The sequence below is a fragment of the Homo sapiens genome, chromosome 3 (assembly GCF_000001405.40).
Source record: "Homo sapiens chromosome 3, GRCh38.p14 Primary Assembly".
Classification (NCBI taxonomy): Eukaryota; Metazoa; Chordata; class Mammalia; order Primates; family Hominidae; genus Homo; species Homo sapiens.
In genome coordinates, this window is record NC_000003.12 from 124,154,929 (window position 1) to 124,172,462 (window position 17,534).

The 17,534-nt window shown below is 43.2% G+C and overlaps 1 protein-coding gene and 1 long non-coding RNA gene across 34 annotated transcripts in view, besides 1 other annotated feature; both read left to right on the plus strand.

Moving 5' to 3' along the window:
* The window catches only part of KALRN (kalirin RhoGEF kinase), a 692,957-nt gene that overhangs the window by 121,560 nt on the left and 553,863 nt on the right, over positions 1–17,534 (plus strand). The window contains exons 2-3 of one of the 33 annotated variants that reach the window (NR_028136.3): positions 7,282–7,519; positions 7,781–9,758. The exons of the other annotated variants lie outside the window; for them this stretch is intronic. The gene's annotated coding sequence lies outside the window, so the exon portion shown is untranslated. Of the gene's footprint in view, positions 1–7,281; positions 7,520–7,780; positions 9,759–17,534 lie in introns of those variants that run through there. 33 annotated transcript variants of the gene reach the window in all.
* Positions 3,124–3,769: an enhancer, noted in NCBI's record as "OCT4-NANOG-H3K27ac-H3K4me1 hESC enhancer chr3:123876899-123877544 (GRCh37/hg19 assembly coordinates)". NCBI's record gives its function as "activates a minimal SCP1, AML or CMV promoter by ChIP-STARR-seq in naive and primed H9 embryonic stem cells {active_cell/tissue: H9 hESC(naive and primed)}" and the evidence as "EXISTENCE:reporter gene assay evidence [ECO:0000049][PMID:30033119]".
* On the plus strand, positions 12,080–16,784 carry LOC105374077 (uncharacterized). The gene is made up of 2 exons (XR_924424.4): positions 12,080–13,586; positions 16,505–16,784. It is a non-coding gene; the product is annotated as an uncharacterized LOC105374077 (long non-coding RNA).

Below are 17,534 nucleotides of genomic sequence, written 5' to 3' on the forward strand. Positions count from 1 at the left end.
CAGAACAGACGTCAGAAATAACGCCACATATATACAACTATCTGACCTTTGACAAACTTGAGAAAAACAAGCAATGGGGAAAGGATTCCCTATTTAATAAATGGTGCTGGGAAAACTGGCTAGCCATATGTAGAAAGCTGAAACTGGATCCCTTCCTTACACCTTATACAAAAATTAATTCAAGATGGATTAAAGACTTAAACCTTGGACCTAAAACCATAAAAACCCTAGAAGAAAACCTGGCCATTACCATTCAGGACATAGGCATGGGCAAGGACTTCATGTCTAAAACACCAAAGGAACCTTCTTCTTCTTCTCTTCTGCACCCTCCATGGTTCCAGCCAGAAAAAAGAGATTTTTTTTCTCCTGTTTTGTCATCAGTAGACTTGAAGACATTTATTGAAAATACCATTCTTTCCTCACAGCATCACAATGTCACCTTTGTCTTAAATCAGAGGTGCCACCAAGTAGTTGATACTACCTTGAGTTTGATTGTACTAAGTAAGTGGCTTATCTCTTGGCACAGGCAGGGGTGACTAAGAAAGGCCAGGACAGGATCAGAGGTCTAGAACATTTCCAGATCCACTGCCCCACAGACTAGGTTTAAATATCCTTCTCCAAGTAAAATAACTTTAATAGAATCATAGTATGAACACACAGACAGTTCACAAACAAGACAGTTAAGAAACCATCCTCTCCATTAGAAGATGGATATGGAGTGGAACCATATGAAATGGAATTTAAAGAAATGCAATACCTACTTTCAGGTTAAATTCAGTTTTTCACAAGATTCAACTGAAAATGATTATTACTTTGTCTAATACCAGTTCTCACAATAAGGGAAAGGCTTTTCTGGAAACAGGCTTGGCTCATGCCCATTTCTTGGGGTTCATCCATCACATCTCCCTCAGCTGAGTGCAGAATTAGACACACAGAGCCTTTACCTTCTTGCTTATTTTAATTACTCTGTGAAGGGCCTTTTGTTTGTGTCCAGCCGCTTCTGGCAACCTGAAATCTTTCAGGATTTCTAAGATTCATCTGGGTCTGGGATGCTGATAAGACAGGGTCTCCTTAGATAGATGGACACCCATCCAAGGGCCCCATCCAGCTTAAACTATGGAGAACATCAACTCTCTGGCCAAGCCCTCATTCATCCAGAGAATACAGCTTCCTTCCATCAGCCAGATTCAGGGTGGTATATGAAGTGGAATCCCTCCTCTTAGGGGACTTGGACCTGGTCTAGGCACCTTTAAGTTCAGGGAGTTTCCCTCCACCTCTGCTTCTCTCTCCTGGGGCTGACCCGAAAGTCTTGGCTGCCATAAATGAGAAACATTGTTCAGCAAACAAACCTCATTGGAGCAACAGCTTCTTTTGTAAGTTTCCATTTGGTGAACAAGTGCAGTTGAATACCTTCTGTATATTAGCACTCAACATCTATTCCCAGTCCTTGGGATACTTAGTTTACCTCTAATAGTCTCTACTTAAACTTGGGGCCTGACAAACTTTATTAATGCTTGATCACCTGACCTCAAGTCTTGCTCATTCCTGTTCCCCGCCATGTTAGCTGAGTATTTTGTAATGAATCTCATCTGTCTGCTGTGTATTATGCCCCACTTTGAACCTGTGTTTTGACTTGAGTGAATCCATGTCCTATTAACCAGCAAGACTCCAACTTAGCCGAAGTCCTAAGTTCTTAAGTATCTTGAGATGCTTCGCTGCTGCCCCAGGATCTGCCATTGAGCTCAGGACAAAGCAGTGCACTTGTCAAGAGAGAATTAATCTTTTTCGCATAATGCCATCCATGTGTTGGGGTCCTGTGTTTTCCCTGTGCCCAATGACAAAAGATAAAACAATGACATGGAGTTAGGACTGTGGCATAATGTCCCAATTGTCATGCCTTATTTTCATCAGGAAAGAGTCCCAGTCACTACAAGCCTTTGCCACCCTAGACGTTGCATAATTTTGATTTTGTTCACCCATTTGCTCTATATGTACACAGAATGGCTATTTTAGGCTCTTTAATGTCTGTTCTTTTAAAATAGCTTTTTAAAGAGACTCTTCTGTTTTGTGTTTATGTTTCTTAATCTCTGCACATTTAAAAACCATTGTATATAATAGAGTCACAGACTTTCAGAACCCAGAGATATTAGATGCCATTAGTTCAGTCTTTTCATGACTACATAATATTGTGAGATTTATCTCTCTAGAGATATTTTTAAACTTCTGTTATAATCACAGGAAGTCAGAGCTGGAAGACAACTAAGGACTGTGCTAGGCCAGCAATGTCATTCTACAGACAAGGACCCTGAGGAGGCAAGTGACTGGACCACACAGGCAGTGGTGGAATAGGGTCCTGAATCTCCAGACCCTCAGTCTGGGGCTCTTTGTTCGTGTAGACAGGGCTGCTTCTCACTTCCAATTTCACTTCCTAATTGTAACCCAAAGACAGCTAGGAGTTTGTCGTGGAATCTGTGAATGTGCTTGTTATGAAACACCAATCACTGCCAGGATTTAAGGTAACATAGAAATACCCGAAATGTCTTTTGGGCAAGAGCCATGAATCCCAATGGGAGTAGGCTGGGATAAGTAGTTATGTTAATAAAACTTTTCCACATCAAAAGTGTGAGTCAGATTCAATGTATAAATACCTTTAAGAAGTTACACGCAGAGGGAGTTTAGTTTTAGTACAAATAGATCATTTGTTTGCATCCCTTTCCGAAATAAGGGGGGTAGAAGTTATGTCTTTCAAGTTACACTGATCACTAAAAAAAGGAAAACCATCTGCAGGAGGGTCCTTTTCCTTGTGGACTGCTGTCCTGTGTGGTATTTCTGATAAAGCTTGAGTTTCCAGTGCAGCAGAGGAGAAGAGGAGAGTGTGTCTTTTCTTCCCTTTTGTCTTAACTGCATTCAGAAAATTCCACCTCTGCCCCTTTCCCCTGCGAATGCCCCTGGTCCCAGCTCCTTCCTGAGTCCTGTTGCTCCAGGTGCAGTGGCTGTGGGTCTGGGACCTGTGGGAACCTCCTGTGATGGAGTACAGAGCACTGTTAAGGAGAAAGGAAACATCAGAGTCAGCTCTTCTTCTGCTCCTCAGGGCTCCCCTTTTCCTGCCCATCTTTCTCCTAGGATAGACTGGTCTACGCAGAGAGGCTCACAGGTGTGCCTTGTAAACTTCAGAAATTATTCTACCCGTCACACTCAGGGTTTGTTTCTGCCTGCTTTGTGTCACCTCCACCCCACCCTCTGCTCCTGAAGCAGGGATGTTTGTGGCTGAATGAGGAGGGTGGAGTAGATGGGAGTGTGTTTACAGCCTCCTCTGGGCTTCTGCCTGGTGACTAGAAGGACCTAGATGGGAACATTGTGGAAGAGATAGCCCACTTCTCCCAGGAAGCTCCCAGTCTACTGAGGAGATGATAATTGCTTATCTGATGGCCTCTGGTATAAAGTGATGCCTGAGCTGAGCGTTTCTTCATTACCTCTCAGATGCCAGCACCAGTCCTAGGCTAGTGCATCAGTAGAAGCCGGATCTGAGCTGAGATGGTGATTCTGTCCTCTCTGGAGAGGCCATTGTCCCCAAGAGGCATTCATGTGGTGATTTGCAAAACACTGTTGAGTTTCTCTTTGCCTGTTTGGGGATTTTTATGCAAAGGGATCTCCATTCCTAGAATTCACTGAAAGCAATCCCTGACATGCCCTCTGCAACTCATCATGTTAATGGGAAAGAAGGGCTGGAGGCCAGCCAGGGTACCCTCCTCCCCCCACCACCCGCCAAGCCATGTCAGGATGGCTATATTGATTGCAGAGTCTGACGGAAGATTACGGCAATGGATGGGGATTCACTTGGCTTTTGCAAGGCCACTGACAGTGGAGAAATAAAGCTCTGGCTCTGGAGCCTGTCTTCTTAACTGGGCTTCCATCCAGGTCTTCCTTGCCATCCCCCTACTCCCCCTAGTCCATGATGCACACCCAACCAGATCTGGCTTCCCTGAACACCTCTTAGTCAAACTCCCCAGTTGCTTAGAACCCCTTAACGGGTCCTGTTGGCCTGGACTCAGGGCCCTATAGGATCAGGTATACATCTACAAACAATTGCCTTTACAACCTTATCACTGATAAAGCCTGCCCTCTGCAGTGAAACCCACCATCTAGTCAGATGGGGTCTTCTCATAGTCCCCTAAAAATTCCAGGCTTATTTGTACCTCTATGCCTTTCCCCAGATTTTTCCCCATGTCTTCTGAGCTCACCTCCCTCCATCTGCTCAAATTCAGTTCCTCCTTGAGTACTTGGCTTATGCCACACCTCCCTAACCCTTGGCCCACATGGCTTTTTCTTTTCTTTCTTTCGTTTTTGTTTGTTTGTTTTTGAGACAGGGTCTTAGTTTGTCACTCAAGCTGGAGTGCAGTGGTGCAATCTCAGATCACCACAGCTTTGAGCTTCTGGGCTCAAGTGACCCTCCTACCTCAGCCCCCCAAGTAGCTGGGACTATAAGCATGTGCCACCACGCCTGACCCATTTTTTGTATTTTTTGTAGAGATGGGGTTTTGCCCTGTTGCCAAGGCTGGTCTTGAACTCATGAGCTCCAGTGATCCACTAGCCTTGGCCTCCCAAAGTGCTGGGATTACAGGCATGAGCCACTGCACCTGGCTGGCTTTTTTTTTTTTTTTTTAAACTTTCTATCTCTTTTAAAGTTAACTGGTTACATTTTGCCTTCTCTGCTCCTCTAGCTGTGCAGTAGCCCATTTCTCTGATGCGTAATACCTGAGGGTAGGAACTGTTAGACCCTCCAGTCCAGGGCAAAATGTGAGATGAACACATGCTATTTCTTGGGTAAATGGGGAGAGATGAATGCTTGAAATAATGAACTCTCTCTGGACAATTTAGCATCATTTCCTTCTTAATCCGGTGTTCATATACCCGTTGTAAAGTGAGGACTAGAGGTACTGATGGGTATGGGGGGAGATGGAAGCAGGATTCTCAGAAGGGTTTCCAGCATAGCAGTGATGATGAGCAGGATTGAGATGGAGCAGGTGCTAGATGAAAAAACGAAAACGAAACCCAAAGAAAATAAGAAATTGAATTTGACATACCTTGGTGAAGGAAGGTGGGTGTACTGAGTTGAATAAATGTCCCTTGAAAGTTCATATCTATCTGAAATCTTAGAATGTGACCTTACTTGGAAATAGGGTCTTTGCAGATATAATTAGTTAAGATGAAGTCATACTAGATTAGGGTGGACCCTAAATCCAATGACGGGTGTTCTTGTAAGAGGAACAGAGGATACACAGAAAAGCAGACCATGTCTTCCATGCCGGCCTGGATGGAGGGGCCCATCAAGCACTCAGGGCAGCCTCAGGATGATGGGAAGCCATGGGCCAAGCCATCCCTGCAATGTGCAGGAGGGAGAAATCACATCAGATGGGATCTCTTGAATGTTCACGTTTTTATGAAGAAGGAATCTGGTTAGAATGATCAGGAATAAAAGAGGTCTGTGCAGAGAGAAGGGTGATGGGGAGTGTACTGTGGTGCTTTTGTGAAAAGTGGATGGGATGTGGGTTTGCTTTTATGTGAGTGAAAAGAGAAGAGAAGGAAAGGAAGTGTGAAATGACCCAATTGGTTTTTTGCAATGAATGATGTGTAAGAAAATGGTCTTTTTTTTTTCTGGGCCATCAGGCAGCTCTGACTATCTGTCAGATGGAGTCACATCAGGCAGAGGGTGGGGTAAGAGACAGCCTGGCCTTTGGAGGATTTCCTTAGGTACCACTCCAACACCTTCTTTCTCCTCCTTGGTGTCGGAGGTGGTGAGGGATAATGGGATGCACACTGGGAGCCTTCTCTGGATCCCTGCATGGTCAGTGCCCTGTCTGAGCAAGTCTGTCCCCTTCTTGGATTCTTGGTCTTCTCCCATGTACAGAAGGCTTACAAAGTTTATGTGAGCATTGAGGAAAAATATTTTGTAAACCTTAAAATGCTGTATAATATTGTATCCTGTAGTTCTCCAAGGACTGAGAAGGAAGATAGGGGGAGTCTTAATCCTTTGGGGTTTGAGGGAGGCTCACATACTGTGTGAAAAGTAATGAAGGTTTCAGTTTGAGATGATGAAGTTCTAGAGATGGCTGGTGGTGATGGTTGCACAACAATGTGAAAATGTGAATGGACTGAATGCCACTGAACTGTACACTTAAACATGGATTAAATGGTCAATAATATATGCTATCTATTTTACCATGATAGAAAAGTCATACCTCCATCCCTCCCCCAAAAAAGTAATGTACATACAGGACAAAGCTGATATGTGAGTAAATTTGCCACTCCAGATATTTACAGAGCAGTTATTAACATTTTGTGGTGAATGCTTGTATTTGCAATCATTGCGAGGAATTAGGACTGGTTACCAGGACTCAACACAATATATTATTGTTAATGCTTTTGGATGGCTCTAGAAATTCTTTTGGGAGGGAGTAAATTATGTCACAATAATGGAAACAGAAGTGAACTATAAGCTGAACTTAATAACATGATCTGAGATCGCTTCTCCCCCTCTACCCCTGCCTTCAAGGTTGTTCTCCTGCCTTAGCACTACTTTTTCTTTGTTTCTCAATTTACTCCTTATCCCAGTAGGTCAAGGTGAAAACAGATTTGCATCTATAGTACAGAAACATGTGAATCTTCTGTGGCCTCCTGTATGTTACTAAAAATGTCTCGTGTTATTATGGACTCTGTCCTGTGGGCCAGACTTTGCTCCCAGAAAGAAGCAAGAACTATTTGCATATCTCCCAGATCATTCATTCTCCAGGCCTGTGGGCATCCACATCAAAGCCTTATAGGATCACCCCCAATTGTCTCCTTCCTCTAGCTCCAAGGTGTTTTTGAAGATCAGAGCCATAAGTATGATTACTGCTTGAGGGTCTCTGCATTTCTGAGGAGTCTCCCATAGGCTGAAGGCCCAGAAAGTAACTCAGAAAGGGGTTGAAAGATAGATACCTTTTGGATTGAGAAATTGTTTTACTTCATCACAAAATAAAGTACTTACAGTTTGGGGTTTAAATACTGGGACTTGTATTGTACCTCCTCTAAATCATCCCAGAAAATGAAGCAGAGAACAATGTTCAATGTAGAACTGCCCATGGTGCCAGATGATTTTGAGTCACATACAGAGCCAGGTACAGCTCTCAAATGTTATGTCTACTTGTGTGACAGGCAGCCAGTTTCCTAAGAGGGGGTTGGGGGCAGGAAAAATTCAGTGCCTTCATTGTGGGCTGCTTCTTGTTGAATTTTGCTCCACAGGTTAGAAGACAGGTCCCAGTCTTCCTAATGAGGCATTGAAAGTCTAGGTGGAATAGATGCTTGCTGGAGCCTGTGGATATTATAAAAGAAAGAGCTCACTGCCTTAATGTGGTCAGGAGAGGCAGGAGTGAGAGCCAGTGTGAAGGTGTGGGAGTTGGAAGGAACTTGGAACTCAACTTCTTTTGGCCCCTCAACTTGAGATTCACAAAGAAAAAAAGCAATGTCTCCTCGCTGAAAGGTAAGAGTTTAAAATTTATCTGAACTCGGAATATTATAGTTTGTTTTGGCTCCAGTGGCATGTTTCCATAATGTATTTAAATCACAAATCCCTGCTCTGAGGCAAAGTCAAAACACCTGGTCTTAGTCCTGAGGTGAGGCCCTCAGAGCTGGAATAGTGCTTTGCCCTGTACAGGGGCCATTATCCGATTTATATACAATGCAGAAGATTGTCTAGAACCTAGAGAAGCACTAACTACAGTCTTATCCTTTTCCTCCTTAGCAAAATGGAAGCTCCTCCTTGCACAGTGCAGCCCCTTCCTCACTGTAGGTTATTCCAAGTGAGAAGAGTAAACATGACTTCTAAATGCCATCTAACGATATATGCATATCTAAAGGAGACAAGGATGACTGAATGCATCTTCATGTGTAGGAAGTGAAGTGTCTGTTGACATTAAGTACTTCTTCATGAGTGAGAGGAGGCCCATGATGGAGATGACACCAGTACCTCCTTCTAGCACTCTGAATTCCCAATGTTTACTACTGCTGTCTCTGAAACTGCAGCATCCTCACCAGGACCACACAGGGAACAAAGGCAAGACACCTGAAATCCCTTTAGCCATATTCACAACACTTACTTCATAGATAAGATGATGTTTGAAATATGAGAAGGATTTTTTTTTTAAAAGAGCACTCTATTCTCTTGGTATCCTAGTATGAGTGCCTGAAAGTGCACATTGGCTAGAAGGTTTCATGTGAGCATCAGCCCCAGGGTCCAGAAGACACTCTTGGCAAGCCTGGAGAGTGAGTATGTTGAACAGGCAATGGAAGCATCCATGAAAGGCAGGCAACTGCGCACGACTTTCCAACAGATGGCTGGTCAGTTGCACAGAGGGAAGGAGCCATGGATTCCATGATAATGACACTTGTGCCAGCTTTTGTGTTTCCAGAAGTTTTGAAGATATAAGGGAACCACCACATGTAGAGTATGTGAAGTCTTACAGAGACGAGGTCCTAAGGTATTTATTTTGACAAATCACGTTGCAAGTAATGTGAAAGCAGTTTGAAGAAAAAATGTCCCCATCTAATGCTGCATTATGGCATGCATTTCTTTAGCCTAAATCTGTCAGTGACATGAAAATACATGTTTTGCTGGACACATAATAGGTTGAACACATAATAGGTTCTAACATGGATCTGCATAAAGAAGAAAGAAGAAAGGCTATAAAGGTAGAAGAATAAATGTATAAATATTACAACAGGACACTGAGCTGAGTGGCTCTTTACCATAGACCTTGCTCATAGTTCTCACTACAGGCTTGCTCTGAGCCAACTTCCAAGTTCTCTCCTTCTCCTTCCAAACTTCCCTGTATGTCATCTTGCTCCTGGGCCACCTGACTGATGTTTAATGCCTGGATATTTGCTTTCACCTCTGCATGACCAAGCCTTGGCCAAGTCACTGTTGACTCAGTTGCAACATCTGTCCCCTGCTGAGGGCTGTTGTAGCTTTCATAGCTCACAGTCCAGCTTGAATCTAACCTTTTCTGTGGTCATTCAGAGTAGCAAGAAGCATTGTGTTTTGGATTTACTGCAGAACTCACACACTTAACTGTACACAGTCAGTTTTTATAGCTATCACTGCATCCAGATTGGACAGTGACCTTGGCTGAGACATCCTTTACCTCTGTTTCAGATTAATTTAGGCGGCATATAAAATCTCTGTGCACTGCCAGGGGAAAGTAAAGACTTCATGAAGAAATGGAGAAGAGCCGAATAGTTGACCATTGTTGCTGTATAAATCTTGGATCCAGGGCTAAAAGGTGGCAGTATAAATGCAGATGGTGCTGCTGCCATATTTTCCTGGCACACCTTTAAGCAGCACATTTCAAGCCTTCAGGGTTGGAATGGCATTTCCAAATATAGACTCAAAAAATCCTCAGATGTTTGATTCTAGAATAGAGCTGGGAATTCTGTCCTGCAAATGCCTTCTGCAGCATGGGAGCAAACCCACTCTTCTGTGTCTGTTGCTTCAAACTCTCTATTTTCTGGAAACTGGAGAAAGATGTGGGTCTACATTTTGAAATATATGCCTTGAACAAGAATTATGCACCTATAGAAAACTTGTCATACATTGAATAAACTCTCAGTTTACAGAAATCTATGGAAATATCAAAATAAAACATCAGAAGGAGCAGTAACTATAGAGGTTATTAACTAAGGGGATAACCTGAAAAATAAAGTTATATTTGCTAAAAACTGTATTTGATTAGTTTGGACTTCTTTTTTCCTATCCCTTTCCTGTTTTATATTTATATTTTATTTCTTCTAAAATTAAGTGATCTTTCACTATCTAATTAATATTGTAGAAAATGTCCAAGTCTAGACATTAGGACGGCTTTTGTTATTTAAGTCACATGCAAGAAGCAGCATGGTTTTGTGGAGAGAGCTCTACCTTTGGAGTCCAGCTCTACCTTCGGTGCTAACCCCAGGCATCTTTGTCCCGATCATAGTACCCCTCTGGGCCTCTCCTTATATTTGTAAAATGAGGGGGGCTCTCTGCAGTATCCTTCTGGCTATAAAATCTATCAGCTCTCATTGCTGAAGGTTTCTTCTGTTCAGAGTTTCTAGGTTTCTCGTAAACTGAGGAGCCAGAGGTCAGGAGGAATGGAAACTTGTTATTCCTTTTGTAACATTGTTCAGAGTTTTAAATGAAAACACAAGTAATTAATTTGTCATCACTGCTTGAACATATTATACTTTACTGAATTATAAAATATAATCTTTAGAAAAACAAATTTGTTATGAGAAATAAATGTTGCTGCTTGTCTAAAATTTTTTAGGGCCCTTCAAATTATTGCCTACAGTACCACTTATTAGCCCTGGCTGTGCATTAGCATCTCTTAGAAAGCTTTTCAATATGCCAGTGTCTGCCCTCCCACCCTCAGATGTTTTTATCTAATTTGTCTGTTGTGGGGCCTGGGTACCAATATTTTTAAGAGACAAGATTGAGAACAAATTACGTTCAATTACCAAGGCTGATGTATGCATGGTTCCCATGCATGGCTTGTACCTATCCACCTCCATAGCAACCACATGTGGTCCCCTCCAACATGTCGTCATGTTTCACACATGTCATTTCACACTGCTCCTTCTTTGCGTCTTCTGTTGTAGCCTGGAATGCCATGCCCTAAGAGGCTTAGACTTTCTCGAGCCCCTCCCTACAGTATAGATTTCTTTATTAGCATAGCTCCTGTACTTTGTAATGGCCTGCCTTGCACTCATTCTTCCTGTATTGTAAATATTTTATCCACCATTGTATATATTTATATTCATACATTGGATCATGTCTCTTGGGCTTAATGCCCACCCCTTCCAAGTGCTTTCGCACTGTACCTACCTCGGCCTGTAAGGCCTCACATGATCTCTTTCTCATGTGCTCTCCCTGAACCATGGCCTCTTTCTCAAACCTCTCTTCCTACCACTTCCTGCTTGTTCACTTCACTTCAGCCTTACAAGCCTCCTGACCCTCAAACATACCATGCTTGTCCTCATCTCAGGGCCTTTGCACAAGTGGCTCCTCTGCCTGGGGTGTCTTCTTCCCCCGCTCATCCTCCCATCTGCCTGCTCCCCAGCATTCAGGCCCTCCCTCAAATGCCATCTCCTCAAAGTGGCCTTTCTTAACCACCCTAGCTAGAGTAGCCTGTCCCCCACTCTACCATCCCAGCGTCACACCCCATCCCACTACTTCTATGTTCTTTGTGGGACTTGTATTATCTCAAGTAATATTGTTGTTTTGTACACATGATTTTTGTAAGCCTCCCATTACTGGAATGTAAGTTTTATGAAGATAGCGACTTTGTTTAGTGGGGGCTTAACAAATATTGAACAGATGAAGGTTGTCTCCCCTATGAGATAGTGCAGTGCCTAGTGTAGTGACTGGAAAGATGGTGTTCATTAAGTGCTTCATGAGTGATGTTTCATAGATGTTTCTCCTTCAGAAGCAGGACCACCAGATAGCTCAAATAATACTCATAAAAATTATTTTTTTCACATTTTCTTAATTTCCAGCTTTAAAAAGCAGAGAAAGTAAATATGTTTTTTCTTTTTATAAGAAAATTATATTATGTCTCTCCCTAACTTAAAAATCTTTATTTCCAGGACCCACACCTATGGGGACTCCCTCTCTCCAGGAGTCCGTTCAGCATATAACAAAGGGAAAGGGATTCCTCTGGAAATCAGTTTTGCCTAGAAGCCCCAAATTTAAACTGACACCGCTGCTCTGAGCCAATGTGAGAGGAAACAGATGTTTTTTTGAACATCTAAATTTGGAGGGCCCGGCGTGGTGGCTCATACCTGTAATCCCAGCACTTTGGGAGGCTGAGGCAGGTGGGTCACTGGAGGCCAGGAGTTTGAGACCAGCCTAGCCAACATGGTAAAACCCCGTCTCTACTTAAAAGAAAAAATACAAAATTAGCCAGTCCTGGTGGTATGTGCCTGTAATCCCAGCTACTTGTGAGACTGAGACAGGAGAATCATTTGAATCTGGGAGGCAGAGGTTGCAGTGAGCCACGATCACACCACTGCACTCCAGCCTGGGCAACAGAGCAAGACTCCATCTCAAAATAATAATAATAATGATATTATAATAATAAATTTGGGGACTTTCCAAATAGGTGACTGGACAGGTAAAGATGGAGTGGGGGTGGACCAAGAGTAAACCCTGTGTCCTTGCAGGGCTCTGCCTGAGCGACTGGGCCCAGGGCTCCCTTAGATCCCTGCACTTTACTGCTGACCTGTGGCTCCTATGAAATTGGCTCCTGTTAAGCAGGAGACTCTGGTTGCTAGTCATGGTGGTGACAGTTCTAATTCCTTCTCCCTAGCTTCGCTCTTACCCTGGGATACCTAGAGGTAGAGAATAATTCAGAAAGTTGTCAGAAACACTGGGAGCAATGTTTACTTGTATGGAAGAGCACTGGACTCCCTAGAGAACACAGGATCTGTAAGGTATGACCCGAGGAGAAAGATACAGCAAACCTGTTTTCCCATCTGTGAAATAAAGGGGTTGAGCTAGATGGTTTTTAGTGGCTTCTCTGTTTCTAATCTGCTCAGTCTGTAAGAGTTTGTAAGCATTTTGTTATTGAAGTGATCAACATTCAAACTGTAGGCAAAAGGTGTTTTTATCACGTAATTCTTTCAGCACAGATAACAGGTATTCTCTGTATAAAATTGCATGACTCTCTTTGTGGACACTATCAAATTGAGGTAGTAAATTACCATTGCAGCAAAGTCTGGTTGGGATGCCATAGAGTGTGTTCTCCCATAGAGTAGCCAATAGTCACATGTAGCTGTTAACATTAAAATTAGTTAAAATAAAATTAAAAATTCAATTTCTCAGTCATATTAGCTACATTTCAAGTGATCAAAATGCACACATCTTCTCTTTCCAGTACAGTTCTCAATTGGACAGAGCAGATATGTGCATTTCCATCATCACAGGAAGTTCTACTGCACAGCACTGGTTTGGAGTGCACCCCTGCCCTCAGATGAGAGTTGTATAGTTAGGGAGCTGCTAAGGACCCACCCATCTCTAAGGCTGAGTGATTCTGTGACTTTGTGTTGGGAAGATCATATTCCTGCTCTTTCTTTGCTGAAAAGGTTTTTGGTTTCCAAAAGTACTGAGGTTGGTGGAGAGGTACAAAACAACTGCAGGGAGTTCCTGTCTGCCTGAGGAGATCATCATTCACCTCAAGAATTACAGTGAGAATAAGAGAAGATGAAATGATACTGAAAAGCCGTTTAAAAAGTTGAAGAGTTATGCGTATAAAGCAAGATGATTGTTAAGTGAATGCATTAGATATAAAGGCCACTTGCTCCTGGACCCTCCTTGACTTCCATCCCTCTAAGCCAATCAAAATGAAGTTGGAAGTGATGGGGTTTGGTTGCCATTGGCAACTGATTGTCTACTTTGTCCAAGCTCTGGCAACCTGGGTTAGATAAACTATGAGAAAGTTCTCATAGAGCAAGCAATATTGGCTTCTGCTGGTTTGAGTCATGTTTACCTTGGCTTTAAGGGAGTCCCCAGAATGCTGGTGAGAGTCATTGGGAGGGCCTGGATCAGTGGCTCAGCCAAGTTAAACTAGGGGAATCTCCCTGGGGAGAGGCTCAGTGATACCACTTTCTTTCCCAAATGAAGCTCATAGAAGAGGTGACTCTACCCTCTCTGCTTATCTCTTGGTCAACTTTCCGTCTGCTTCCTCTCATGTCTTTGCATCATAGTTTTAACTCCTGTTAAATTATGTTAAATATTGTAGAAAAGGCACCAAATGTGGTAACTACAGCCACATGCCTCAGGTTTGGATTAGATCTCAATCGGCCTCTCAAGGAAGAGGACACTGGGAGTGATTTGGAAGGCATCTCCATGTGTCTTCATTGTCAACACTACCTCCAAGCACATGGCACTATTCTGGGAGCTATAGGAACCAGTGACAAAGGCACATGATTAGACAAACACCCAAACACAGGCAAGTATATTTAGAGTATATACTAAGAGAGCACAACTCTAAGTGTTGACTCTTGAGTGGAAAGACATGGGATTTGAGTCACAGGACCTTGATCTAAATCCTGTTTATTGACTGTGTTATCTGGGGCTCTGTGAGCCTCTGTTCACTCATGTAAACTGGAAATAATAATGCCTTACCTTCAGGGATGTTCTAGGAATGAATGATGAACACATAGTGGTGGAAGGCTTTGCACATTGAGGCACATAAATGATTTCCTTTCCCTTTCTGAGGGGTCAGTGCTGTGATTTGGAGGGGAATGGTGGAGTGACTATGGAGAGTCCATGCTTAAAGAATGGAAACCACTGCATTTTACTAAGCTTGTTGGCTCTCTGTGGTTTGATAATAGGGTAGGGATGGGGTGGATTTGGCTTACTGGGTCAGGGAGGATCTCCCTACAGGGTAAGGGCTCACAGGAATGGAACTGCCTATCTCTCTTTAATCCTGAGCCAGTGGTTGATGTTTTGGTAGCTTTGGCTTCTCTTCAGCTGTGGGCTCTAGCTGCATAGGGCTTGATACTTGTGGGTAATTTGCAACTACTGGTGCAGTGGAATCCCGGGGATTGACAGAGGGGCAGTGTGTGTAGTTTAGGGGGAGGGAAGGAGGATCCCCTGTCTCCCTGGCGCCTCATGTCCAGTGAAATGTTGTGCCAATCAATGGCATTGATTGGTCTCTGATGGAGATGTAGTTCTATTAGTTCAATTTCCTGTTTCACTATAGAATGTGACTGTATGTGTTTGTGAGAGAGACACAGGGAAGGAGTTATTATCAACAGTGGGCAATAGGGGAGTAGTCAGGGGAAGAGAGAGGGGACAGTTCTCTCTGGGACTCTCAGTTGTCCTGAACGTGGGAGTAGTGACTTGCTGGAGTAGAACTATGGAAATTAGGGTAACAGGGTATTTTTCCACGAAGGAAACTAGAGAAGGAAGTAAGATCAGTCCGAGTGTAGGATCAGTGTTCTGAATACAAGAGGCAGATGCCCATTGTTGGATATGAGAATCTAAGGTGGAGAAGAGGGCTGGCTTGGTTGAAACTCAACCAAGAGCATTTCAGAGTTCTTTCCTCAGAAAATACCGTGGTAAAGCTTTAGTTAGCTATAGATGTACTTGGGACGTGTGGTAAAAAAAGAAAAACAAATAAGACGGGGACCCAGTCCATCACTCTGATTCCTTACAACCACATCAAGGCTTCAAGATGTGGCTTTACCCCAAGGAACCTTTAGCGCCTTCCTGGCATCTCACAAACTTTTCTCTGAAGGAATCTCTCTTCTCTGAGTGTGATGAAGGGTGTTGAACCATTGGGAAGGAACTTTACAACATCCACTGTGTGCCAGGTATAGTACTGGTCACTTTATGTCATCTTAGTTTTCATAACAACTGCATGATCTATGCATGCAAAATCCCAGTTTTACTTATTAAGAAACTGAGGCTCAGAGATGTGAAGTGTCTTATCCAGCGTCACATGGCTGGTGAATAAGTGGCAGTATTGGGATTAGAACCCCAGACCTGAATTTAGATCATTTAGAGCCCCTAAATGTCAGGTTAAGGAGTTTGGAATTCTTTTAAAAGGCAACAGAGAGTTGTTGGCTGTGACCAACAGGTTGATATATGAGAGAAGACGTTTTCCTCTTGAGTACACACAGAGAAGTTGTAGATCAATAAAAGCAAGCTCTAAACCTCTCTCACATTTATGGGCCCTTGGGCTTGATTCTTCTTTATGCAATCAAGACTTCTTAGTGCTGTCTGGCTCCAGACTTGGGGTTTTTTGAAGCCTGCAGAGTCTCAGGGCACAAACAACATGAGCTGCTTGCCTAAGACATACTTTATAAACTCCTTCCACTTCCACATTCTTTTTTTTTTTTTTTTTTTTTTTTTTTTTTTTTTTTTTTGAGACATGGTCTCGCTTTGTCACCCAGGCTGGAGTGTCGTTCAAAAGATTCTCATGCCTCAGCCTCCCAAGTAGCTGGGATTATAAGTGTGTGCCACCATGCCCAGCTAATTTCTTGTATTTTTTTAGTAGAGACAGGGTTTCATTATGTTAGCCAGGCTGGTCTTGAACTCCTGGCCTCAAGTGATCTGCCTGCCTTGACCTCACAAAGTGTTGGGATTACAGGCATGAGCAACCTCACCTGGCCCATTTCTACATTCTTTATGCTACCCCTGTTCTCAGAAGTGATGGAGTAATGCTATGTAAGGATTTGGGAAATTAGGCTCCAAGGTTTAGTGGATTGAAACAACTATTTGCTTACTGGCTTAGCTACTTGGGTTGGCATCAGCTGGGCAGTTTTTCTGCTGGTCTTACCTGGAGTCACTCATGTAGCTGCAGTCATTTGGCAGCTTGACTGGGGCTGGATGGTCTAAGATGGCTTTACTGACAAGTCTGGCAATTGGTGCTGGTTGTCAGCTGAATAACTCTCTCTGTTCATCTTTTTGTGATATCTTATCCACTAGAAGACCAGACTGAGTTTCTTTACGTGATGGCAGAAGTGTTGAAAGAGAACGAGAGCGGAAGCTGCAACACCTCTTGAAGTTGAGGCCTAGAAGTCACACAGCATCTCTTCTGCTCTACTGGATTGGTCAAAGCAAGTCATGGGCTAGTTCAGACTGAGGGGGTAGCAAAATAGACCCTACCTCTTGGTGGGAAAAAAGGCAGTCACATTGTAAAGGAGTGGGCACATAAGGATAGAAGGACTTGATTTGGCTATCTTATAAACAACCTACCACAGAAGGACTTCTGTTTTTCTGATCCTCCCTTAAGTTTGAACTACATGTTCCCTGAGGAATTCCTGCCTGTGGAGATCAAATTAGAATTTGGATTCTCAGCAGGTGGTTTAATAACTGCAAGCAGTTGCCTTCAGAGTCCCTGAATAAAATCATCCTCCTGGGGTCCTGGGAAAGGCTTTGATGGGTATCTTAAGCTCTCTCTCCGCAGATCTTGAACTACTTCCATAGGTTATTGGATATTTGGTGAGAAAGGCATCTTGGAGGAATGGAAATGCAGGGGTTTGGGAGGTGGACAGACCTGGATTCAGCCAGTTCAGTCTTAGTTCTGACTGGCTACATGGCTTTGGGTAGGTTACTTGACTTCTTTGAATCTTATTTTCCTTATCCATAAAATAAGTGTATTCATTTTGCATGATTGAGTTGAGGAGTCATTCATTCAACAATGGGTGATAATAACTAAAATCAATTCCAAGAGTAGCATGAGCTCAAGGCCTCTCATTCAGACTCCTGAATCAGCCCATCTCACCCCTACCCCATTCCCCTTCGCCTTACCTTGGCTTGCTGGCCAAATAGGCCGTGAGTTCCTAAGGTCTTCCTGTCTTACTCTGTCATGATTGTTGTGAGCAGGGCTTATCCCAGTAGGATAAATGTACAAGGAGGAAGAGGGAGAGAGTTTAAGAAAACCAGCCAGAAAGTCTGCTCCAGATAACAAGAAATTCTGCCAAAGTACTGGATGGAATAGCCAGAAATGATGCAC